Raw genomic sequence first — 25,523 nt, 5'->3', positions numbered from 1 at the left:
AATGAAGATTATAAATTTTCAATTGTATTTTAAAAAATTGTCTTTAATCCTAATGAAAAATTCAAATACTGAAAAACCAAGACAAATGTTATACTAGAATAGCATGGCTGTTTCTTAAAACTGAATTACAGGCCAATTCATATAATGTTTCTTTACAAGTTATATTTGAAGCAGTTGTTTTTGCTGAAAAAAGTTAAGTACACGACTTTCAAGGTGGAAAAAATTTTATGTCTGCCTGAATATATTTTACAAATAGTTCTTCTAGGGACATGCTATAATTATAGATGTGTTCTAATATTTTAATTATAAAAAATTGAACACAAGATCTTTTTTTAATCCTTCATTGCATGTGGCATCTGGTTAATATGTTACAAATTTAATATTGAAAATACTGAATTCTTATTCTAACATTACAGTATAAGGAAGTTAATATGGTTAAGTATGATTAAATAAGTGAAATGGTTTTCCCAAATACTCTACTATTTTGCCTAATCCTCTAATATTTCCATTTCTCCAGACCAAATCGTTTACTGCTCTTACATGGTTTCCTGGATGAGAATGTCCATTTTGCACATACCAGTATATTACTGAGTTTTTTAGTGAGGGCTGGAAAGCCATATGATTTACAGGTGAGTTACTCTACATTTTCTAGTTAAATGCAGTCATGATTAGTGATTGATTACTTTGAAATCTATTAGCTGTGGGGTAAGTCCAGATTTTTAGAGTGTCCACCCTCTGCTTAAGAGAACTAAAGTAAGAGGCATATTTAGTAGTGCCTGTAGTTGGATAAAAATTAAGATTCTGTTGCAGTCAGGCTGACATACCTGCCTATCAGATTACATGACTGTGTGTCTGTATCTGCTTTCAGTTTGGAAGCATGGAAAAGATGACAGGAAGTCCATTCACTGTTATCCTTTGCTTTTCTTTTTCCACTTTGAAGGGTGAGGATGTGCTATTTTGATTTCATGGTTGTAAAAGGATTTTTAGGGCCTGATTATATGGTCTTTTGATTTTCTTTTATTTTACATTGACATTGGAGGAAAAACCAGCAAGTTACTCTCCTCCATTGCTCCATTATTCATTGCTCCTTATTCCAGTTTTTCTTAAAACTGTGTTTTACTCCTTAAACAGATTATGTGCACACAAAAAATGAAAAAATTACTTTTTCCTTTTTAACATTTCAGTTGATATTTATGTTTAAACTATGAGATATTTATAGCAGTAGTTTTTAAGCTTTTTGGTTTCAGGACACCTTTACCTACCAAAGAACTTTGTTTATGTCAATTATATCAATCAATATTTCTCATGTAAGATATGAAAACTGAGAAAATTTTTAAATATTTTAAAATAATAAACTATCAGCCCGGCACAGTGGCTCATACCTGTAATCCCAGCACTTTAGGAGGCCAAGGCAGGTGGATCACTTGAGGTCAGGAGTTCGAGACCAGCCTGACCAACATGGAGAAACCCTGTCTCTACTAAAAATACAAAAATTAGTCAGGCATGGTGGCTCATGCCTGTAATCCCAGCTACTTGGGAGGCTGAGGCAGGAGAACTGCTTGAACTGGGGAGGCAGAGGTTGCGATCAGCTGAGATCGCGCTATTGCACTCCAGCCTGGGCAACAAGAGTGAAACTCCGTCTCAAAAAAAAAATAATAATAATAATAATAAACTATTACATGTTAACACAAATCACGTTTTTCATAGAGAGAAACTATATTCCAAAACAAAAAATAATTTACTGAGAAAAACAGCAATATTTTACATTTTTCTAAATTCCTTTAATGTCTGACATAGTAGTAAAGAAGACACTTGCATTCTTATGTCTCTTTCTGTACTCAGTCTGTTGTGATATGTTGTTTCGACTAAAGTATGTGAAGAAAAGTTTGGCCTCACAGAGTATGTAGTTATGAAATGGGGCCGGTCGCAGTGGCTCACGCCTGTAATCCCAACACTTTGGGAGGCCGAGGCAGGCGGATTACCTGAGGTCAAGAGTTCACAACCAGCCTGGCAAACATGGTAAAACCCCATCTCTACGAAAAATACAAAAATTAGCTAGGTGTGGTGGTGCATGCCTGTAATCCCAACTACTCAGGAAGCTGAGGCATGAGAATTGCTTGAACCCGGGAGGCAGAGGTTGCAGTGAGCCGAGATCGTGCCACTGAACTCCAGCCTGGGTGACAGAGTGGACTCTGTCTTAAAAAAAAGGAAATGGGAGGAGTATTTTAGCTTTTTCAGATAATTGTAAATACTATTCTTTGATACTGTACCAAAACTGGACAAGTGGTAGTTTCTTAAAGGTTGTGGGATTTTGTTTGTTTTTGTTGTTTTAAATATATATATTATATATACTTTTTATTATATATATATTTTTAAATTATATATATATATATATTTATTTTTATTTTTTTTCTTTTTGAGATGGAGACTTGCTCTGTCACCCAGGCTGGAGCACAGTGGTGTGATCTTGGCTAACTGCAACCTCTGCCTCCCGGGTTCAAGCAGTTCTCATGCCTCAGCCTCCCGAGTAGCTGGGACTACAGGCTCATACCACTATGCCCAGCTAATTTTTTTGTACTTTTAGTAGAGACAGGGTTTCACCATGTTGGCTAGGCTGGTCTCCAACTGCTGACCTCAGGTGATTTGAGGCCTTGGCCTCCAAAAGTGTTGGGATTACAGGCGTGAGCCACTACACCCAGGCTAAATATATATATATATATATATATATATATATATATATATATATATATATATATATATATTTTAGATATATATGTATATTTTATATATTATATATGTATACTTTAGATATATATGTATATTTTATATATTATATATGTATATTTTAGATATATATGTATATTTCAGATATATATGTATATTTTAGATATATATGTATATTTTATATATATATGTACATTTTATATATATATATATTTTTTTTTTTTTTTTTTTTGAGATGGAGTTTCGCTCTGTCACCCAGGCTGGAGTGCGGTGGCACGATCTTGGCTTACTGCAAGCTCCGCCTCCCGGGTTCACGCCATTCTACTGCCCCAGCCTCCCGAGTAGCTGGGACTACCGGTGCCCGCCACCACGCCTGGCTAATTTTTTGTATTTTTAGTACAGACGGGGTTTCACTGTGTTAGCCAGGATGGTCTCGATCTTCTGACCTCGTTATCTGTACGTGTCAGCCTCCCAAAGTGCTGGGGTTACAGGCATGAGCCACCGTGCCCAGCCTAAATATATTTTTAAAAATAAATAGAGATGGGTGTCACTAAGTTGCCCAGGCTGATCTCAAACTCCTGAACTCAAGCGATCCTCCCACCTGAGCCTCCCAAAGTGCTAAGATTGCAGGGTGAGCTACCATGCTCAGCCAAGGAATTTTTTGTTGTTTTTTATTTATTTTTTTTAAATAGAGTCTTACTATGATTCCTGGGCTCGTTTCAAACTCCTGGGGTCAAGTAATCCTCCCACCTCAGCCTCCCAAGTAGCTGAGACTACAGGGAATGGGCTACTGCATCTGGCTTAAAGCTAGGTTTTAGTGTGGAATCTGAAGTGATATATATAAACTTCATACTCTGTCACAGTAAAGTGTGGATCTTATACTTCAGATGGATCTTTTACCATGCATTGGCCTTCTGGAAAATACTGGCTCACTGTGTTATGCCAGTCTTTCAAATATTGACTCCTTTTATTGTACAATATTTTTAAAATCACATATAATAATATTACTACTGAGCTCATCGGAAAAGTGTCTAAGTATTGGGAAGCTCATTAGTTAATAGTAGTAGATGCAAGTTTTCCAAAATTCTAACTCAAAAGCCCAGATTTTATCATTGGCAACAAATACTGTCAGTGTTGTCCTTGAAGTGACCAGCTCACTTCATTCACTTTTGAGAAAATATTTACTGGATACCCTAAATAACCATAGTTGTCAGTCATTCTTTGAAGTTAAAAATGGAGTTCCATTTAAAAAGCAGCAGTTCAGCTTGTGACTCATTCACACTAGTACTTTTCTTTGAGACATCCTATAGCACTGGTGCTTTATGCATTCCCATTTCATAAACACAGAATATTAAAAAGACTTCTACTCAAAGGTTGTAACTTAATAAATTCTAATTTTTACTGCTACTTAATTGAAACTGCCATTTTTCTTTTTTATTGGAAGTGTGTGGTGGTGAGGAATACTGTGACTTCTAGTGCAGTTTAATGATAGTGCCTTGATTCATGCTAACCAGCAGTTTTACTGACCTTTGCTTTTGTATCATCACTGTAAATGCTGGCACAACAAGTAAAGGCAAATAATGTCTTTGTGTTGTTCTAAAAGTAGTTTTGACCGTGTCTATCCCTTGAAAAGGTTTCAGAGACCTCTGAAAGTCTGCAGACCACACTTAGAGAACAAACCATTGGTCTACAGATAAATCCATCATTAAGCCTAATGTTAAATAAGGAAATCATAAGATGAAGAGAGGAGCGTTTAGATAGGATTTATTCTACAATATTGCATAGAGGCTGTGCTTCGTATTATTAATCCTGTTAAAAATCTCTGGAAAGCTTTGGAAGAAGATGTATTACTAAATTCTTTTTTTTTTTTGTATCTTTATTTTTTGTTGTTGGTAAGATCTATCCTCAGGAGAGACACAGCATAAGAGTTCCTGAATCGGGAGAACATTATGAACTGCATCTTTTGCACTACCTTCAAGAAAACCTTGGATCACGTATTGCTGCTCTAAAAGTGATATAATTTTGACCTGTGTAGAACTCTCTGGTATACACTGGCTATTTAACCAAATGAGGAGGTTTAATCAACAGAAAACACAGAATTGATCATCACATTTTGATACCTGCCATGTAACATCTACTCCTGAAAATAAATGTGGTGCCATGCAGGGGTCTACGGTTTGTGGTAGTAATCTAATACCTTAACCCCACATGCTCAAAATCAAATGATACATATTCCTGAGAGACCCAGCAATACCATAAGAATTACTAAAAAAAAAAAAAAAAAAAAGACATTAGCACCATGTATTCATACTACCCTATTTTCACTTTTAATAGTATTATAAACTTCATGAACTTAATTAGTGTATTTTTACAGTATACTTTTGAGTTTGTTAAAATATGATGATATTAGTGATTGGTTTGGTTCAGTTCCAGAATCTTTGACTAGTTACAGATTTGATAGCACTTAAATGTAATTGAATAGCTTATGCTTCATTGCTTGGGCATATCCAGCATGTTATGAACTAATAACTATTAAACTTGACTTAACCAGTCATTCATTAATAATTTTTCAAGGATAACTTAGTGGCCTCCTAAAGACACTTGTTTTGGCACTGACCAGTTTTTAGCCAATTTAATCTGTATCTAGTATAAATAATTCTCATTTTTCTTTGATGATATTAACAGAGTGGGCTTTTCCTTTTGCATAAAGGCTAGTAACTGTATATGTAGCATGGATTTAATTAGTCATGATATTGATAATTACAGGCAGAAAATTTTTAATCAAATGATTAGAGCTTAAATATTTGCAGGCAAGTTTTTTTTTTTCCTTTAAGAAAAGGAAAAAGTACACATTCACTAGAATTCTTCAGAAAATTTAGTGGTGCCAGTTTCCATTTGGTATTTCCTTATTAAAATATTCTAGAATTTTAAGGAGATTGAAGGGAATCACAGTGGGGTGGGGAGACCTGGGTTTGGGGAATGACAGAGAGAAGAGGTGGTGAGGGCCTGATTAAAAACTAAGCAGAAGTAGTTTTAACAAAAATACTCATGAAAATGTTTGGAAACTGAAATTTAAACAACTGTAATATTAAGGAAACCAGAATCAATAAATCACTGTCTTGCCAGCACAGCTACAGAGTAACATGATTCAGGGGAGGAAAAGTTCCTTAGAGTTACTTTTATAATTCTTTTTTTTTTTCCTCTTAGGTTTAGAAATCTTACAAATTTAAACTTTATCCTTTTAAAATTATTTGAACATAATTTAGATATTGTAAGCTTAAAATACAAATGTTTATAGATAACCTCTTTACCATAAACTAATCCCTGGCAAGCCATGGCTCTCTTTTTTTTTTTGGTGTTTAAAGCCTGTAAACAGTTTTTCTGAATGATCATGAACTTTTCTTGGTTTAGCACTAGGATTTAGCTATGAAGAGAGCTCATAGGCTTTCAGGTGCTAATTGAGATCTGCCCTGTTAGAGTCTTGGGGTGCTAGATTGGTCACATTGACACCAGTGGCAGGGAAGGCATCTATGAGTTTGATGCTTTTTATCACACACTTCAGTGTTTAGAAAGTTATTACCAATACTTTTAAACAACACTCCAAGAAAATTTGCTATATTTCTTTCTCATCACTACAGAGAGAGTAGATTTCCCCATAGAGAGCACAGCCTCCATTAGTAAGGTTGGTGACTATTGGTAAGAGGTGGACTTCATTGACACCAAGTGGGAGGTAGGGAAAGCCCAGAAATGGCAGGATGATATGGTGGTTCTGTCGTTGGGAAAGGTATTGGGTTTTGCTGTTTGTATTTATACTGTATAATAGATACCACGCTTTTTCTTATTATCTGTATATGTATTGCTTTTCATGTTTGATATTTTCCCATGCCAAGATTTGTTTATATATATTTTCAATGTTAAATTAAATTGATTTGGGTAACTTTCTTCCCCAAGAAAGTATTTTCCCCCTTAAGTATATATCTGACTGTGGAGGGTGTTTTGTTTTGTTTTGTTTTGTTTTGTTTGGACTAACTGGCCTCGAAGGATCTATCCTTATAATATATGCAAAGTAGAAATGGTATACAGTAGCTTTTAAGCAGCTACTCCATTGAAACCTCTCACCCATTAAGGCTGTTTCTTCAAAGTGGCATCTCTTATTTTACCGAAACAAACTTAGAAAACTTCATGTACTCTGGAGTTCACAGGTGTTTTCCTTTTGCATGTTGCCTTCTCCTTTCCTCCTATCACAAAGAATGCTTCTATTATCACTCCCAGTCACTTAAATGCCATTCTGCTTCTTTAGCAGGAAAAAATACCTGAATGAATTCTCTTACAGAAAGACAGTTTGACTGAATTTGCTTTTTACAATCAGTGTGGAAAATATCATAGTCAATTGAGGCAATCAGTAGAAATCTCACTAAAAGTTTGTACCCCCTGAGTATGGGTAACAGCTTAAACGGCAAGAATATATAAAAGTAGCAACAGTTTAGTGGGAGCCAAAAAGCACTAGGTTAAATATCATACTACGTTTTTAAAGACTTGATAAATGTGTACACTTGAACAACCATCCAGAGGGATAGTTACTTGAGCATTACAGAGTAGTGGAACTCAAAATCTAAGATTCATCTGGGATACTTCTAAAAGAAATGTAGAGTTTTGAATCTCACTCTTAAAAATGTGTATTCCCAGGCTAGGCATGGTGGCTCACGCCTGTAATCCTAGCACTTTGGGAGGCCAAGGCGGGTGAATCACTTGAAGTCAGGAGATCAAGACCAGCTTGGTCGACATGGTGAAACCCCGTCTCTACTAAAAGTACAAAAAAATTAGCTGGGCATGATGGCGTGTGCCTATAATCCCACCTACTCGGGAGGCTGAGGCAGGAGAATCGCTTGAACCTGGGAGGCGGAAGTTGCAGTGAGCCGAGATGGCGCCACTGTAGTCCAGTCTGGGCGACAGAGTGAGATTCTGCCTCAAAATAAATAAATAAATAAAAATTTGTATTCCATTGATTTGGGTAGACACCAGGAATGTGCATTTCTAACAAGCTTTCCAGGCGATCCTATAGTAAGTCATCTGTGGACTACTTTAAGAAACTCTTCTATAGAGAATGGAGTTGGATTAATAATAGGTGATTTTTTACACTGGACTGATTCACAAGAACCTAAACAGTAGTCCATGAAGCTGCTCATCTGTGGTAACTATTTGGCCCCGTCTCACTCTGAAAGCAGCAGGAGATGTTGTTTACTTTGTTTCTATCCCCTTTGTCTGGAGATTAATTTTGGAATGAAAGTTTTTCTCTCTATGCCATTCCTGGTTCTTTTCCAAAGCCTCATACAAGAGGATTAGGTCACAATGCATGCATTACCTTTTAAAAGAATGCGATATTGATACCGATGCTTACTTTTTTTTTTTTACTACTTGTTTTATTCCTTCCAGAAAGTATAGCCCGCCTTTCTATAGCATAGTTCTCTTTAGGTGGAATGATTCCTATAAGATTTCTCATTATTAAATCATGCATTTTTCAAGATGGAATCAATATTTGATTTAATCTAAGCTGATATTCTCATTTGTTAGAAGAACAACCTACATGCTAGAGAGAGAGGAGGAAATATACCCACGACCACACAGCCAGTTAGTATCCAGTTGGTGCTGGACTCCAGCCAGGTGTCCTGCCTCATGGTAGTTAAATGATATATAGAAAAGGTAAATTTTTAAAGAAATATTTATTAATATATTCCTATAAAACATTTTAAAGGTAACCACATAAAAATGGTTAATTTTTCCATTCCAAAGTAAATGCTAAGCATGTTTATTAATGAAGCAGTACTTCTGATTAGTATATGACATTCTGAAGTTAATTAAACTCATTGCACTAAATGTGTCTTCCTTGGTATAGTGGAGGATTTGAGGATTGGAATATAGAGTAGAGTGCTTGCTTAAGCCTGGGAGCCCATCTTTATAGCTATTTGATGTAAGAAAAGAGACATGGCCATTTCTAAACTATATAAGGTGAGTGTGTCTATTCCCAGCAGATATAAAGGAAAAAGGAAACTTTTTTGATTCCCACCTTCCCAGCCTCACCTAGCCATCTTCCAGCCTCAAATATAGAGATGTTAGTGCAAGGTCCTGGGCTCTAGGTGATCATTTCATAAGTCCTTTACAGATAAAGAAAAAGTAGTGTTTGTATGTTTGTTTTTAAGTAACCCCAAAACAAATTTATATTGTATTCAGCAAAATTGGAATTCAGGTGTTTAATTTTAGAACATGAAGTGCCTGCTGTTTTAAGCATTGACTTGTATAAAAAGAATTGCATGTCTCCAGTAAGCTTATGGGTTTTCTCATTTTTAGGTATATGGCTTTTAATCATGTAAAGTGAAACATTAGTTTTCTTGCATTTTATTACAGGTTCTTTGTTGCAATAAAGATGCTGCTGAAATTAATTGATTTAAGTGTTCCTTTTTCTTCCATTTCCCCATGGGAAATGTACAACCTTGCCTTGATTAGTGACAACTGTGGAGGGACTAATACACATGAACAAGGTCATGTGCTTGCAGTGGAGAAGAGAAACTGTAGTATGAAGGATTACATGGGTGTTTTAGTATAAACACTAACCAAAATGCATCCAAGCCCAATGGGAGGTGTGCAGAGAACTGCTTTCTATCTGCAAGTGGTTACCAACATCCAGTGGTTGATACTACAAGGGTAAATGGTGTTAGAGCCAGTGAGGAGCATATCCCCCTGCCCCAAGCTCCACCCCCGAGCAGCTGGGGGTTTGTGGGAATACCACCTAGGGTTGATAGTGGCTTCTGCATGCTGCCCAGGAAATTTTTTTTTTTTTTTTAATTTTTTTGAGACAGTCTCACACTGTCGCCCAGGCTGGAGTGCAGTGGCGCAATCTTGGCTCACTGCAAGCTCCGCCTCCTGGGTTCACGCCATTCTCCTGCGTCAGCCTTCCAAGTAGCTGGGACTATAGGCACCCGCCACAACGCCTGGCTAATTTTTTGTAGTTTTAGTAGAGATGGGATTGCACCGTGTTAGCCAGGATGGTCTCGATCTCCTGACCTCTGACCTCGTGATCCACCCGCCTTGGCCTCCCAAAGTGCTGGGATTACAGGCGCGAGCCACCACGCCCGGCCCCTACTGCCCAGGAAACTTTGAGGGAGTTTAATGTACTATGTTTTTCAGAGGTTTCTGTTGTTTTTTTTTTGTTGTTGTTGTTTTGTTTGTTTTTTAGGTGGAGTCTTGTTCTGTCACCCAGGCTGGAGTGTAGTAGTGCAATCTTGGCATACTGCAACCTCCCCTGCCCAGGTTCAAGTGATTCTCCTGCCCCAGCCTCCCAAGTAGCTGGGATTACAGGCGCCTGCCACCACACCCGGCTAATGTAGAGATGGGGTTTCACCATGTTGGCCAGGCTGGTCTCGAAGTCCGTAATGACCTCAGGTGATGTGCCTGCCTCGGCCTCCCAAAGTGCTGGGATTACAGGCATGAGCCACCGCGTCCGGCCTGACAATATTCTGTTTTTTTGAAGTTTTATTAGAGAAAGGGCAGAGGGGAAGCAGATGAACCCCTCTGAAATAAGTAAATGTGGGTTTCTGTGATAATCCTTCCAGAACAGAGGCTTAATCTGGATTCTGTAACCCTCAAGTTGTATGTGAAGTATTGCATGAAAAGTAGTAGTGTATTATTCTGGAGACAGGCTCTTTGGCTTTATCAAATACTCAAAGGGATAATGACCCCAAAAAAGTTAAGAACCACAGCTGTATTAGGGTCTTAAACTTTTATTTTGTATACAAAAATTATTAGGAATAAAGATGATTTTAAAATAAGGGACTGCTAGGCCGGGTGCAGTGGCTCACGCCTGTAATCCTGGCACTTTGGGAGGCTGAGACGGGTAGATCACTTGAAGTCAGGAGTTTAAGACCAGCTAGCCAACATGGTGAATGAATTTTTGCATACTAAAAATACAAAAATTAGCAGGGCATGGTGGCACATGGCTGTAATCCCAGCTACTCGGGAGGCTGAGGCAGGAGAATCGGTTGAGCTTGGGAGGCAGAGGTTGCAGTGAGCCAAGATCACGCCACTGCTCTCTAGCCTGGGCAACAGTGTGAGACTCCATCTCAAAAAAATAAAAAGTAATGGACTGCTGTAGATGAGTGCTTCCTAACCTTTTCATCTTGTAACAAAAAGAGACACTTGTATGACACAGGGATAAACAGGCACACTGGGGTAAGCTGTTAAGGCTGCTTGTAGCCAGAAGTGACTGTCCAGGCCCACCTCAGCTCTAAAGAAATCAGTATCTCATTATACATATGATCTACTTATGGCACTATGGTTGGGAAATTTTATAGATTACCTTGGCCTATCAAAAATCAAAAACCAGCTTTCACCTGACACAGTGGCTCATGCCTGCAGTCCTAGCACTTTGGGAGGCTGAGGTGGGCAGATTGCTTGAGCTCACAAGTTCAAGGCCAGCCTGGGCAACATGGTGAAACCCCATCTCTACAAAAATACAAAAACTGCCTGGGTGTGGTGATGCATGCCTGTAGTTCCAGCTACTCGGGAGGCTGAGGTGAGAGGATCGCTTGAAGCTTGGAGGCAGGGGCTGCAGTCAGCTGAGATCACACCACTACACTCCAGCCTGGGCGACAGAACCAGACCTTGTCTCAAAATAAATTTTTTTTTTTTAATTAGCTCTCAGGCCAGACGAGGTGAATCACACCTGTAATCCCAGCACTTTGAGAGGCCAAGGCGGGAGGACTGCATGAGCTCAGGAGTTTGAGACCAGCCTGGGCAACATAGCAAGATCTTGTCTCTACTAAAAATTTTAAAATTAACTGAGCATGGTAGTGCACGCCTGTAGTCCCAGCTACTCAGGAGACTGAGGCAAAGGATTACTTGAGCACACTGCAGTGTGCTATGATTATACTACTGCAGTCCAGCCTGGGCAACAAGACCCTGTCTGCATACTGTGATGGAGGTGTAGACTTCCAGCTGTAGAACTCCAGTGCCCCAGAGTCGGAGCAGCCTTGAAGCCTTTTGACTTCCCTTTGGCCCTTTTAACCTCACCCACCCCACCCAGTGTATATGAAGAGGCAGATATTGATCCCTTGGTGCTTTTGTGGGGAGCAGAGTGAAACAGTCACAGTATGAGAATCTCATAACCAGAGTATAATTTTATTTGGGGTTCGGTGTAGTTTGGGGATTTACCAGGATTTAAGGATTCATCTGCTGGCTCTATCACCCTGGAAGAGGTTGAGCTCCCATTGTAATTTCAGCTCTGAGACACAGATTGTTCAGTTTGCTGTTTGTTCCTTACTCCTTACTAAAAGATGCTCTCTGTAAATTGGCCTCCAAACCTGTGTTCTTAAAATAGAAGTTTGCGGAAGCAATTAGCCAGGATAGTTGTCCTTAGCCGGCTCCAGGATTCCCCCATCTTTATTGGAAAAACACCCTGTAGATGTGGCATAGCTTAACATTCTACTCACAGGTGACAGTTACTTGCAGAAAGGTCAGTCTTCTGGCCAGGATGGTTCTGGAAACCACACAGCTCCTCTGTAAAATGAACTCTCTGTGCTGGCTTAATTACTGAGCGCATACCTGGTCATAGTTGCATCCCTAAGCATGCATGTGTATACCACTGTCTGCAGTTCAGTTGGGTACTTGTTGTGTTGCCCTGCCAGTTAATTGCTTTAAGCTGTCTCAACCGTCCATTCCTCTTTCCCATTGTTGCTCCTTCCCCAGTCTAGGTCTCACGATCTCAATGCCGGGTAAATACAGCAGCTCTCTATCCACCCTGAGTTCGGGGTGAAGAATAGAATTCCAAGTGACTTCAAATAAGCATTTCTCAACTTTCATTTAGCAAATATTTAGGAACAATCATGTGCCAGGTCTGTACTAGGCCATCAGAAAACAGAACTGAAGAGGATACAGTCCTTGCCCTCAGTAGGCTCTCGGGACCCACTTCACTTTCCACCCAGAAGCCACTTCCTTTAAAGGAAGCTTTTTTTTTTTTTTTTTCTTTGAGACAGGGTCTCCCTCTGCTGCCCAGGTGGGAATGCAGTGGCATGAACACACCCACTGCAGCCCCAACCTCCCAGGCTCAGGTGATCCTCCCACCTCACCTTCCCAAATAGCTGGGACTTCAGGCACGCACCACCACTCCCAGCTAATTTTTTCATTTTTTGTACAGATGTGGTCGCACTTTGTTCAAACAGGCTGGTCTTGAACTCCTGGGCTCAAGCAGTCCTCCTGCGTCAGCGTCCCCAAGTGCTGGGATTACAGGCACGCGCCACCGTGCCTGGCTAATTTTTGTATTTTTAGTAGAGATGGTGTTTTACCATGTTGGCCAGGCTGGTCTCGACACCTGACCTCAAGTGATCCGCCCACCTCGGTCCCCCAAAGTGGTGGGATTACAGGCATGAGCCACCTCACCCGGCCTAGCATTTAATTTCATACCATACTGTTTGCTACCGGTTTTGTTTCTCCAGTTGGATCACAGACTCTCAAAGTGGTACCTTTACACTTGCTTAATTCTCACCCATAATACCTACTGCAGGGTCAGATATATGAGATACTTGAATACCAAAACAATTTTCAAATAAAAATATCTGACGTCCCCCATTTAGGGTTGTCTGATTGATAGCTTATAGGTTCCTAAGTACCCATCTACCAATTTGTTTGTAAGTGCAAAAGAAACCAAATCATTCCCAAATTTAAGCTTTTAGAACTCCTTTTTCAAAATGTCCTTGTAGTTTGTATTCTTTATCCCCCACTGAGGCTTCAGGTCAGGAGATATTGTCCTTCTCAACCCTAGTTGCTATTATAGTTGTCTGGGCAGCTTTTAAAAACATTCATATATAAGTCCCTCCCAGGATCCATTACATCAAAATGGGGAGGGGAGGTCCTGCCATCTTTTAATTTGTTAAAAATAAGTTCTCTAGGTGATCCTAATGTTTAACCAGAGTAGAGTCTCTGGCCAGGCTTGGTGACTCACGCCTGTATTCCCAGCACTTTGGGAGGCTGAGGACGGCAGATCACCTGAGGTCAGGAGTTCGAGACCAGCATGGTCAACATGGTTAAACCCCACCTCTACTAAAAATACAAAAAGTAGCCAGCTGTGATGGCACACACCTGTAATCCCAGCTACTTGGGGGACTGAGACAGGAGAATCGCTTGAACCTGGGAGGCGGAGGTTGCAGTGAGCCGAGATCGTGCCAATGCACTCCAGCCTGGGTGACAGAGTCCCTGAGGTAGAGCAATGGAAGATTTTACTCACAGAACGTTAGAGCCGAACGTATTTTTAGAAATCATCTAATTTACCACTTTACTTAACAGACGAGAAGCTGATGTGAAGCCAGGAAGTGATTACTCCGCAGCCAAACCAGCTGCCTAGAGTCCATACTGAAGCTCAAGGCTTCTAGCTGTGTCTCCACCTCCCAGAACAATGTTCTCCCAAGCCAGACCCAAGCAGAGAAATTCGCCAAAATGAGGGTGCCAAGGCTGTTGCCAGGGTAGTCTCAGCAGAGGCACAGGGAGTAGAGGAGGTCCCCACCCCTTGTTTCACCCACAGCAACTTAGCTGTTTACTCATGTATAATCAGGGAAAACACGTTCCGCAGCTTAAAAGAACAGTTAGAAAACCAGTGACCCCTCCCCTCACTTTCAGATGAGGAAACTGAGGCCCAGAGGACTACAAAGCCATACAGCTGTTCAGTGGCAGAATCGGAACCAAAACTCAGACCAACTAACTCCCTGAGGTACAAGGAGGTAAAGCGACTTCCCCAAAGGCACAAACTAGTCGGTAGCTGAACGTGGACACCTGAATACAGTATCTAAGGCTCTCAATCTAGAACTCCTACTAAATTTCCTAAAATCTAAGATGTCACCATTTGTAAGACCCTAATATTAGAAACATCAAAACGTGAATTAAGACTGTATCCTGAGAGTCAGGTGCAGTGGCTCACGCCTGTAATGCCAGCAATTTAGGAGGCTGAGGTGGGAGGATTGCTTGAGCCCAGGAGTTCAAGACCAGCCTGGGCAGCATAGCAAGACCCCATCTCTACAAAAAATATGAAAGCCAGGACCGGGCGCAATGGCTCACGCCTGTAATCCTAGCACTTTGGGAGGCCAAGGCGGGTGGATCATGAGGTCAGGAGATGGAGACCATCCTGGCTAACATGGTGAAACCCCATCTCTACTAAAAATACAAAAAATTAGCCGGGCGTGGTGGCAGGTGCCTGTAGTCCCAGCTACTAAGGAGGCTGAGGCAGGAGAATGGCGTGAACCCGGGAGGCGGAGCTTGCAGTGAGCTGAGATGGCGCCACTGCACTCCAGCCTGGGCGACTAAGCAAGACTCTGTCTCAAAAAAAAATGAAAGCCAGGGATGGTGGTACATGCCTATTGTCCTAGCTTCTTGGGAGGCTGAGGCAGGAGGATCACTTGAGCCCAGGAGGTTGAGGCTGCAGTGAGCTGTGATTGCACCACTGCACTCCAGCCTAAGTGACAGAGCCAGGCCCTGTCTCAAAAAACAAAAAACCAAACCAAATACCCACCCACACACACACACACACACACACACACACACACACACACACACACACACAGAAGAATGATCCTAGAATCAAGGAAATATGATACTTGCCTGAAGTCTGAGATCCTTCAGGGACTGAGCTGATGCTGAGCTCAAGAAGTGTGTGCTGGGTGGATCTTGGATGTGAATCTCCCTGAACTTGCCCAGAGAAAGGAGAGAGAGCATGAAAAAGAGAAGGGAATTTGGGATCTGATAGAGTTGGGTTCAGACCCAGCAGTTGTGATTTTGAGCAACACCTCTGCTTCTCTACCCTTGGTTTCCTGGACCCTAAAGTGGAGTTTTAATACATCACAGAGTTGCTGTGAGGCCAAATTGTCAAGTACAGACTAGCATGGGATGGGGGTTTGGAAGTGATTCATGACAGTGAAGTTGGCCCTCCTGCTGTTGATCCAACCCCACCCATCCAAGCCTGCCAGAGGGCGCACTGTGCTCTCCAGGACATGAGCTGTGAGGCCCAAACCCTGGGGAGAAGATAGATGCTGGAAGGGGAAAGGAATATGACTCAGCCCCAGGGATCTTGGGAGGACAGCAGCTTCTGGGCCATGAACAAGGGTGGGTACAAAAGCCTCCTGTGGGGGTGACTGAACTCTGCCCTGGCCTCAGATACTTCCCACTTACCTGACCCAAAGGCTGATGATCTTCTGGTATTGCACATTCCTTTATTTCTTTCTTTTGAGACGGAGCCTCACTCACTCTGTCGCCCAGCCTGGAGTGCAGTGGCGTGATCTTGGCTCACTGCAACCTCTGCCTCCCGGGTTCAAGCGATTCTCCTGCCTCAACCTCTTGAGTAGCTGGGATTACAGGTGTGCACCACCACACCCAGCTAATTTTTTTATTTTTAGTAGAGACAGGGTTTCACCATGTTGGCCATGCTAGTCTTGAACTCCTGACCTCAAGTGATCTGCCCACCTCAGCCTCCCAAAGCACTGGAATTACAGACGTGAGCCACTGTGCCCGACCTGCATATTGCTTTAAATGAAGGCATCATTAACTGTAAGGCCCTTGTTAGGGATAAAATGTTTTACCTGTGAGCCAGGTGACACATTTTCCTCTGAATACCAACTGCTAACGTTTGTATGGTTAGTGTCCCACCACTTAGAGTACTTCCTTATGACATCATTATATTCAATTTGATCCTCACAATAAAACTGGGATGTCAGGCATATTATTATTCCCCTACTTTTTTTTTTTTTTTTTTGGTCAGAGAAAGAAATGAAAACTCAGAGAGGTATATGCCTTGCCCAAGGTCACAGTGCAGAAGTGGAATGCTGATCCTGGTTTCACCAGCTAATCGGCGAGCAACATGAATTGAGCAGCTACATGGAGCTAATGATTATTCTACTTCACGGAGTTGCTGTGGGCTTTGATATGAGAAAACACATGCAAAGCTCCTAGTGCCTGGCATGTAGCACTCAGACACGAGCTATTAGTTCTCTGGGCAGTGGAAAAGAGGGTGGTCAGGGAAGGCTGCACAAAGGAGGTGGCATTTGGATTGGGCACTAAAGAACAAGCTTCCCCAGGTGGGAGGAAGTCATTCCAGGCAGGGAGAATAGGGATGAAGGGATAAGGGGTGTGGGGGCTGGCATACTGGGAGCGCTGATTGTGGGGAGAATGGTAGAAAAAGCTGGGGGTGCCAGGGAAGAAGTGCGAAGGGCCATGCATGACGGAAGCTAAGGAGATTGTGCATCTGCCCCCAGCTCTGCTGCTCGCTTCACCTCAGCCGGCCTAGCTTATCTGGAGACAAATGACGGGACAGGTCATGGGATAGTCGTGCTTTGATGGGGAAAGTGTCGGAGCAAAGGACTGTTGGGTAGAACAGGCTCAGGGTGAGGATTCCAGCCCCTAGAAGCTGTGGGAAGACACAGTCTCCAGCCCGAGGTGGTGAGCTTCCAAAGAGGGATGGACAATATGACAGTGTCGCAGGCCTTTCCGTTCTGCGGAAGACAGTGCTCCCATCCTGCCACGATCAGTGTGTCCAGCTGCAGGCAGAGCGTCCAGAGAGACCCCAGGAGAGAGCAGGTCTCAGCCCATTGTGCCAGATGTGCAGGGGCCTTATAAAAGGGGACCGAGAGACTGAATCTGAACCCCAGTCTTGCTGGGGCAGGTGGCCTTGCAGAGGTGAGCATCTGGGAGCAGTGGTTCCAAGTGGGAAGTAGCCGTTGATGGGATGGACAGGTGGAAAAGTGTCTGCCTAGAGAGCTGAGGAGGGAGAGCAGGAGGGCAGGAGGGTGTCTACCTGCACCACCTTTTAACAAATTTTTAAAAGTTTTAAGTGTATCAGGGTTACACAGGCACATAGCTTGGAGTCAAGTTCTATAATAAGTCTCAAGTAATATGTTTGTATTATTATTATTTTTTTTCAATTTTTATGTACTATCTAGTGGCGTCCCATTGTGAATGATTAGAATTTAGCTGTTTTCCCTTCCATTTCCACCAAATACCCACAGTTCCTATCTCCCTCATCCCTTCAATATAGTTTTATTGTAATTTTACTAGATTATATTCAGTTTTTACATCGTTAAGACTATGTAAATGTATTCAAAGATGAATCCACACAATAAACTTCAAATATTTTCTTTTTTTGAGACAGGGTCTCACTCTGTCACCCAGGCTGGAGTGCACTGGCACGATCTTGGCTCACTGCAACCTCCACCTCTGGGGCTCAAACAATCCTCTCACCTCTACCTCCAGAGTAGCTGGGACCACAGGTGCACGCCAACATGCTAGGCTACTTTTTTGTATTTTTAGTAGAGATGAGTTTTCACCATGTTGCCCAGGCTGGTCTTGAACTCCTGACCTCAAGTGATCCACCTGCCTCGGCCTCCCAAAGTGCTGGGATTACAGGCATGAGCCACTGCTAAACTTTGAATTTGTTTTCAGTCATGAACAGCTTTTTGTTTTACCTAGTTAATAATTATTTTTTAGCTTATATATTTATTACTAATTAGACCCCAAACTCCTCAAACTTTCCATTGATTTATCTATTTTGCTTAATTGCTAGTATTTCCAGTGTTTCCCTGCAATATATACAACATTTCAAATATTTAATGAGTTAAATTGGTTTTGATTTGCTAGTCTGAGATGAAGCTATCATTTGCTGTGCTGATTCTTTAGAGAAATGTGTTTGGATTTCCAGGCAATTGGTGTGTGAATGTACTGTAGGCATGGCCACCTGCACAGTGCTAGTTTCTGTCCTCAAGTAACTTCCAGTGTCATCTGAGAAATATAAACATAAAGAAGTCACCATATGAGAAATAATCTAGTTAGTACCTGTTGAGTGGGACAGACAGGTCAGTGTGGACTCGAGTTGAGTTTTAAGGGAGTCTATGTTTTTTATTATGATAAAATATACATAACATAAAATTTACCATTTTATCTACTTTTTTTGTTTGTTTAAGACAGGGTCTCGCTCTGTCACCCAGGCTGGAGTGCAGTGGTAAGACCTCGGCTCACCGCAACCTCCATTTCCCAGGCTCAAGAGATCCTCCCAACTCAGCCTCCCAAGTAGATGGGACTACAGGCACGCGCCACCAAGCCTGGCTAACTTTTGTATTTTTTTGTAGAGATGAGTTTCCGCCATGTCACAGAGGCTAGTCTTGAACTCCTGAGCTCAAGAGATCTGCCTTCCTTGGCCTCCCAACATGCTGGGATTATAGGTGTAAGCCCTTGTGCCCGGCCCATTTTAGCCATTTTTAAGTGTACAGTTCCGTGACATTAAGTACATTCACATCATTGTGTGGCCATCACTATTATTTACCTCCAGAATATTTTCATCATCCCAAACTGAAGATTATAGGTATTTTTTTCCTCTCTATGTTACATTTACTCTTTCTCCTTACAAAAATAAGTGTTCAATGTGGATAGTTTGCAAAGAACATAGAAAAGCACAAAGAAGAAAATAAAAATATCCCGTAATTCCACAAATTGATTAGAGACTTGATGAGAAAGGTGTGGAAAGGCAACTCAGGGTGAAATGAGACCCATCCTGCTGACTCAGAGGGTTTAAGCAGGGGAGCAATGAGGGTGATAATTTTGAATATGAAGGGTGAAGATATTAGAAACATACCTGTCTTTTGTATCTTCCTTAAAAGGGGATAAATGGGGGAGGCAATGAGTGGTTCTAATAGTGAACTCAACCCAGTAAAGATTCCAGCAGCTCTACTGGTTATCAGGTTTGTTACCATATATCAAACCACCCCAAGCTGAGTGCTCTAAAACAACAACAGTCATTTGTATTACTATCTCTCACAGTCCTGGGGGTTGGCTGGGCTCAGGGTCTCCTATGTGGTTGCAGTCAATGGCTGGGCTAGAGCAGTTGGGAAGGCTTCCTCACTTACACATGTGGTTACTGGGCTGGAAGGAGTCAAACAGCTGGGGGCCAGAACAGCTGGGGCCCCTCCAGCCCCTCTGCCTCCATGGGGTCTCCATGATGGAGGGCTTCAAAGTGGCTAGACTTCTTACATGGTGGCCCTGGGCTCCAAAGGTGCATGTTCCCTAAGAGAAAGCAGTGCAGGAGTAGTATCCCCTTCTGTGACAGACCTCAGAAACCAGGCAGTATCACCTCTGCCACATTCTGGTGTTTTTGTTTTTTTTTTTGAGATCGAGTCTTACTGTGTTGTCTGGGCTGGAGTGCAGTAGTGTGATCTTGGCTCACTGAAGCCTGGGTTGAAGCAATTCTCCGGCCCCAGCCTCCTGAGTAGTTGGGATCACAGGCACACACCACCACACCCGGCCAATTTTTGTATTTTTAGTAGAGATGGAGTTTCACCATGTTGGCCAAGCTGGTCTCAAACTCCTGACCTCGGGTGATCCACCCACCTTGGCCTCCCAAAGTGTTGGGATTACAGGTGACAGCCACCACGCCTGGCCTCTACTTCTTAAAGGGAAGAATGTCAAATAACTTGTAGACATACTCTAAAACCACCACGGTGGTGGCTTCGGTTATCTAGTCTAGAATGATGTGAGTACCATGGACCCCCACTGCTGGTCTACAGAGCAGGTCATCCATAAATTCTTGATCTAGAGTCAGAGAGCCAACAGACATTTTAGAGATTACTCAGGTAAGTGCTTCCCAATGTTTTTTTGATGCTCAAACTCCATTCACAATAATGTGCTATCTTGTCCCCTGCTTAGAGATTTAGAACTTTCATCATTTTTGGCCCAGGCATCTCAAGCCTGTAATCCTAGCATTTTGGGACGTTCGAGGTGGGAAGATCACTTGGAGCCAGGAGTTTAAACCCAGCTTGGGCAGCAAAGGGAGACTGTCTCTCCAAAAAAGTCAAATAATAAAATAAATGAAATTTTCATCATTTTTGCATGGTTTATAATAAAGAATTAACTTTTAAAAACCATTCATTCAGAAAACATTCACTGGGATTTTACTATCTTCTGTGCACTGTGCTAGATGCCAGGGAGATGGGAGGACACATGGTTCCCACCACAATGAGCTTACTGTCTAGCAGTGGAGCCAGACAATTTAACAAAGGATGATAATAAAGTGTCCTCAGTGCTCTGATAGGAGAAGTACCAGCTCACAGAATACTTTGTCTGGTTCTGATCTCTCTGCTTAGATTGAAACGGCATTTCCAGGCCAGGCGCTGTGGCTCATGCCTTTGGCTCACACCTGTAATCCCAGCCACTTTGGAAAGCCTAGGCAGGCAGATCACCTTGAGGTCAGGAGTTCCCTGGCCAACATGGCAGAACCCCATCTCTACTAAAGAATACAAAAATTGGCCAGGCACGGTGGCTCATGCCTGTAATCCCAGCACTTTGGGAGGCCGAGGGGGGTGGATCACTTGAGGTCAGGAGTTTGAGACCAGCTTGGCCAACATGGTAAAACCTCGTCTCTACTAAAAATACAAAAATTAGCCAGGTATGGTAGCCTCCCAGCTACTTGTGAGGGTGAGGCAGGAGAATCGCTTGAACCCGGGAAGCAGAGGTTGCAGTGAGCTGAGATCGCGCCACTGCACTCCAGCCTGGTGAATACAAAAATTAATCAGGCATGGTGGCAGGCGCTTGTAGTCCCAGCTACTTGGGAGGCTGAAACACGAGCGAGAATCGCTTGAACCCGGGAGGCAGAGGTTGCAGTGAGCCACTGCACTCCAGCCTGCGTGACAGAGCAAGACTCTGTCTCAAAAAAAAAAGAGAGACAAAAAACAAAAAGAAAATAAACGGGCCGGGCGCGGTGGCTCACGCCTGTAATCCCAGCACTTTGGGAGGCCGAGGCGGGCGGATCACGAGGTCACGAGATCGAGACCACGGTGAAACCCCGTCTCTACTAAAAATACAAAAAATTAGCCAGGCGCAGTGGCGGGCGCCTGTAGTCCCTGCTACTTGGGAGGCTGAGGCAGGAGAATGGCTTGAACCCGGAAGGCGGAGCTTGCAGTGAGCGGAGATCGAGCCACAGCACTCCCGCCTGGGCGACAGAACGAGACTCCGTCTCAAAAAAAAAAAAAAAAAAAAAAAAAAAAGAAACGAAATGAAACGAGAAAAACAAAAAAGAAACAGCATTTCTAGCACTTTAATGCTGTCACTTGATGCCATACAGGGCCCTCACACTCAACTTGTTTAAAAGGCCAATTCACTTCTCTCTCCTCGGTTCTGCTCCTCCCCCATGTTCCCTTCATTTAGTAGTATCCCATCCACCTAGTCAAACCTACAAGAATTCTAGCCCTGTCCCATTCTCTTAACCACTACATTGACCTGTTCCCAAGATGTCACTTCTGTCCTAGAACTGTCTCAGGGAAGTTAAGAAAAAAAATAACTTTAAAACAACATGTTAGGCCGGGCGCGGTGGCTCACGCCTGTAATCCCAGCACTTTGGGAGGCCGAGGCGGGTGGATCATGAGGTCAGGAGATCGAGACCATCCTGGCTAACAAGGTGAAACCCCGTCTCTACTAAAAATACAAAAAATTAGCCGGGCGCGGTGGCGGGCGCCTGTAATCCCAGCTACTCGGGAGGCTGAGGCAGGAGAATGGCGTGAACCCGGGAAGCGGAGCTTGCAGTGAGCCGAGATTGCGCCACTGCAGTCCGCAGTCCGGCCTGGGCGACAGAGCGAGACTCCGTCTCAAAAAAAAAAAAAAAAACAAAACAAAACAAAAAAAAAACAACATGTTAATTCAAGGTAATTTTAATATATTTAAATTAAATTGATTATTTTAAAAACCCTGTTCCTCATTTAATAAATGATGCATGCCTATTTTAAAGTAATTAGGGGCCACGCACAGTGGTTCATGCCTGTAATCCCAGCACTTTGGGAGGCCAAAGCGGGCAGATCGCTTTGAGCCCAGGAGTTCAAGACAAGCTTAGGCAACATAGTGAGACCCTGCCTCTACAAAAAATTCAAAAGTTAGCTGGGTGCATGCCTGTGGTTCCAGCTACTAGGGAGGCTGAGACGGGAGGATCACCTAAGCCTGGGAGGTTGAGGCTGCAGTGAACCAAGATCGCGCCATTGCACTCCAGCCTGGGCAACAGAGCAAGACCCTGTCTCAAAAAAGAAAGGAAGAGAAGAAAAAGAAAAAGAAAAAGAAAAAGAAAGCATCATTTGTCAAAAAACAAATAAATATATATATAATTTATATATATATTTGTGGTTTGAGGACCAAATATACAACGAAATATAATAGTGTGGGCCAGGTGCCATGGCTCTCGCCTGTAATCCCAGCACTTTGGGAGGCTGAGGTGGGCGAATCACAAGGTCAGGAGTTCGAGACCAGCCTGGCCAATGTAGTGAAACCCCATCTCTACTAAAAATACAAAAATTAGCCGGGCGTGATGGCATGCACCTGTAGTCCAAGCTACTTGGGAGGCTGAGGCAAGAGAATCACTTGAACCTGGGAGGCGGAGGTTGTGGTGAGCCCAGATCACTCCAGTGCACTCCAGCCTGGGCAACAGAGCAAGACTCCATCTCAAAAAAAAAAAAAAAAAAAAAAGGAAAAGAAAAAGAAAAACAAATTAATAATAGTGTGTTATAGGATCAAAAACAGACAAAAATTGCTTTTATAATATGGTTGCCTTTTGTGCTAAATATTTTAAATTTTCTGAGTTTTATTTCTGAGATGTGAAATAAAAGATTTTAGGATTTATTGGGAAGTATTCCCCACAAAAAAAATATATTGTGGATATGGATGATTTGTCTTTCCAGTAAACAACAAGCCAAATTAGATTCAGTTGTCCTTAGATTTTGTTTTTTTTTAAACATCGTTTTTTAGGCCAGGTACAGTGGCACACTCCTGTAATCCTAGCACTTTGGGAGGCTGAGGCAGGCAGACTGCTGCTGAGCTCAGGAGTTTGGGACCAGCCTGGACAATCTGACGAAACCCCACCTCTACAAAAAAATATCAAAATTAGCCAGGTGTGGTAGCACCTACCACTGCTTGGGGGCTGCTGAGGTGGGAGGATTGCTGGAGCCCAGGAGGTTGAGGCTGCGGTGAGCTGTGATCATGCCACTACACTTCAGTCTGGGAAACAGAGCAAGACCCTGTCTCAAACAAACTAACGAAAAATAAATTTGGTTTTTGACCTGTCAGTGACTGAGTTTTGTTTTATTTGTTTGTTTATTTTTTCTGAGACAGGGTCTCATTCTGTTACCCAGGCTGGAGTGCAGTAGTGAAATCTTGACTCATTGCAACCTCTGCCTCCCAGGCTCAAGCAATCCTCCCACCTCAGCCTCCCAAGTAGCTGGGACTACAGGCACACACCACCACACCCAGCTAATTTTTTTGTATTTTTGTAGAGACGGGGTTTCACCATTTTGCCCAAGCTGGTCTTGAACTCCTGATTTCAAGAGATCTGCCTGCCTTGGCCTCCCAAAGGGCTGGGATTACAGGCGTGAGCCACCATACCCGGCCTGTCATATATTTTTTATGGTCCCACATGGCTATAAATTAAACAGTGTATAAATGACCAAGTATGAAAATAAGTTAAAGCTGTTTAATGATAAAAACCATGACAGTGAACCATGTTTATCTGAGCATGTTCCTCGACCCTCCACTAACCACCACCCTGGAACACCCCATACACCCTTGGAAGCTTTCCATGTTACCAGCTGAAAGAGGAAAATAATAGAATATTTTATTATTGATTTTTTTTTTTTGAGACAGAGTTTAGCTCTTGTTACCCAGGCTGGAGTGCAATAGTGCCATCTTGGCTCACTGCAACCTCTGCCTCCCGGGTTCAAGCGATTCTCCTGTCTCAGCCTCCCGAGTAGCTGGGATTACAGGCATGTGCCACCACGCCTGGCTAATTTTTGTATTTTTAGTAGAGACGGGGTTTCATCATATTGGTCAGGCTGGTGTCGAACTCCTGACCTCAGGTGATCCGCTCGCCTCAGCCTTCCAAAGTGCTGGGATTACAGGCATGTGCCAGCCACCATGCCCAGCCTGATTGATTTTTAAAAACACATTAAAACAGGTGCTATATCCACTTTTAATGTTGTGAACTCTTTGGAACTGGTTAGAAATGTGCATCATACCCCAACCCTTTTGTCTCAGTGATGAAACTGAGGCCCAGAGAGAGGATGGAAGTTGCCCAAGGTCATGCAGCAAGTCTGTAACCAAGGCAGGACAAGAACTATGGTTCTTACTCCTGCTGGGCTTGGCTGGCCTGAACCTGTAACTCTATCCCTCCTCCTCTCACATTTACTCCCTACCCAGAGCCCATGTAGTGAGATATGAATATAGATAAATTAATTAGATTTTTGTATGTGGCTGGTAGAATTAGTCTCTCTATATGGCAACACCTTGTTCATTCATTCAATTGACAAATCAATTGCTTTCTAGATAACATATGAGGCCAGTCCATCTGGCCCTGGCCTCCCTGTTTGGCTTCATGTCCTGCCCCTGCTCCCCTGCCCAGTCCACACCTCCTGCACTCTGCTTACATTGTCTTTCCTGTAAGACTTCTCTGCTTCCCCCAGGTCTGGCCCGAGTGCCCCTCTTCCCTGTACCCCATCACAGACTGTATCACACTTGTCCATCTCCCTCAGTAGCCTAAGCACCATTCAGGCAAGATTCCTCTTGTTCGCCAGTCTGCTCCCAGTGCCCAGAGCAGGGCCTGACCCATAACAGGTACCCCTTGAATCAATGATTGGATATGCCATTTCCAGGCAGGAAGAGCACACTTCCCTGTGCTCTCACAGCCCAGGGCCTCTGCAGAGGGAGTTTCTTGACCACCCTGTCAGTTCTAGCCTTTTAAATTGTCCAGACCCATGTCA

The 25,523-nt window shown here is 42.7% G+C and overlaps 1 protein-coding gene across 29 annotated transcripts in view; it reads left to right on the top strand.

Moving 5' to 3' along the window:
* Positions 1 to 9,161, top strand: part of DPP8 (dipeptidyl peptidase 8) — a 75,223-nt gene extending 66,062 nt beyond the window's left edge. For 23 of the 29 annotated variants that reach the window (NR_135485.2, NR_135486.2, NM_001438669.1 and 20 more), the window contains 2 exons: positions 518 to 629; positions 4,622 to 9,161. Coding sequence is in view for 27 of the 29 variants with exons in the window: in NM_001438669.1 (NP_001425598.1) it covers positions 518 to 629; positions 4,622 to 4,744 (235 nt within the window). In the remaining 2 variants the exon portion in view is untranslated. The remainder of the gene's footprint in view (positions 1 to 517; positions 630 to 4,621) is intronic. The other 6 variants (NM_001438674.1, NM_001438673.1, NM_001438670.1 and 3 more) reach the window with 1 other exon arrangement.
* The last annotated feature ends 16,362 nt before the right edge of the window (positions 9,162 to 25,523 follow it).

Source organism: Homo sapiens, chromosome 15 (assembly GCF_000001405.40).
Source record: "Homo sapiens chromosome 15, GRCh38.p14 Primary Assembly".
Classification (NCBI taxonomy): domain Eukaryota; kingdom Metazoa; phylum Chordata; class Mammalia; order Primates; family Hominidae; genus Homo; species Homo sapiens.
This window is presented reverse-complemented; position numbering and strand designations above follow the sequence as displayed.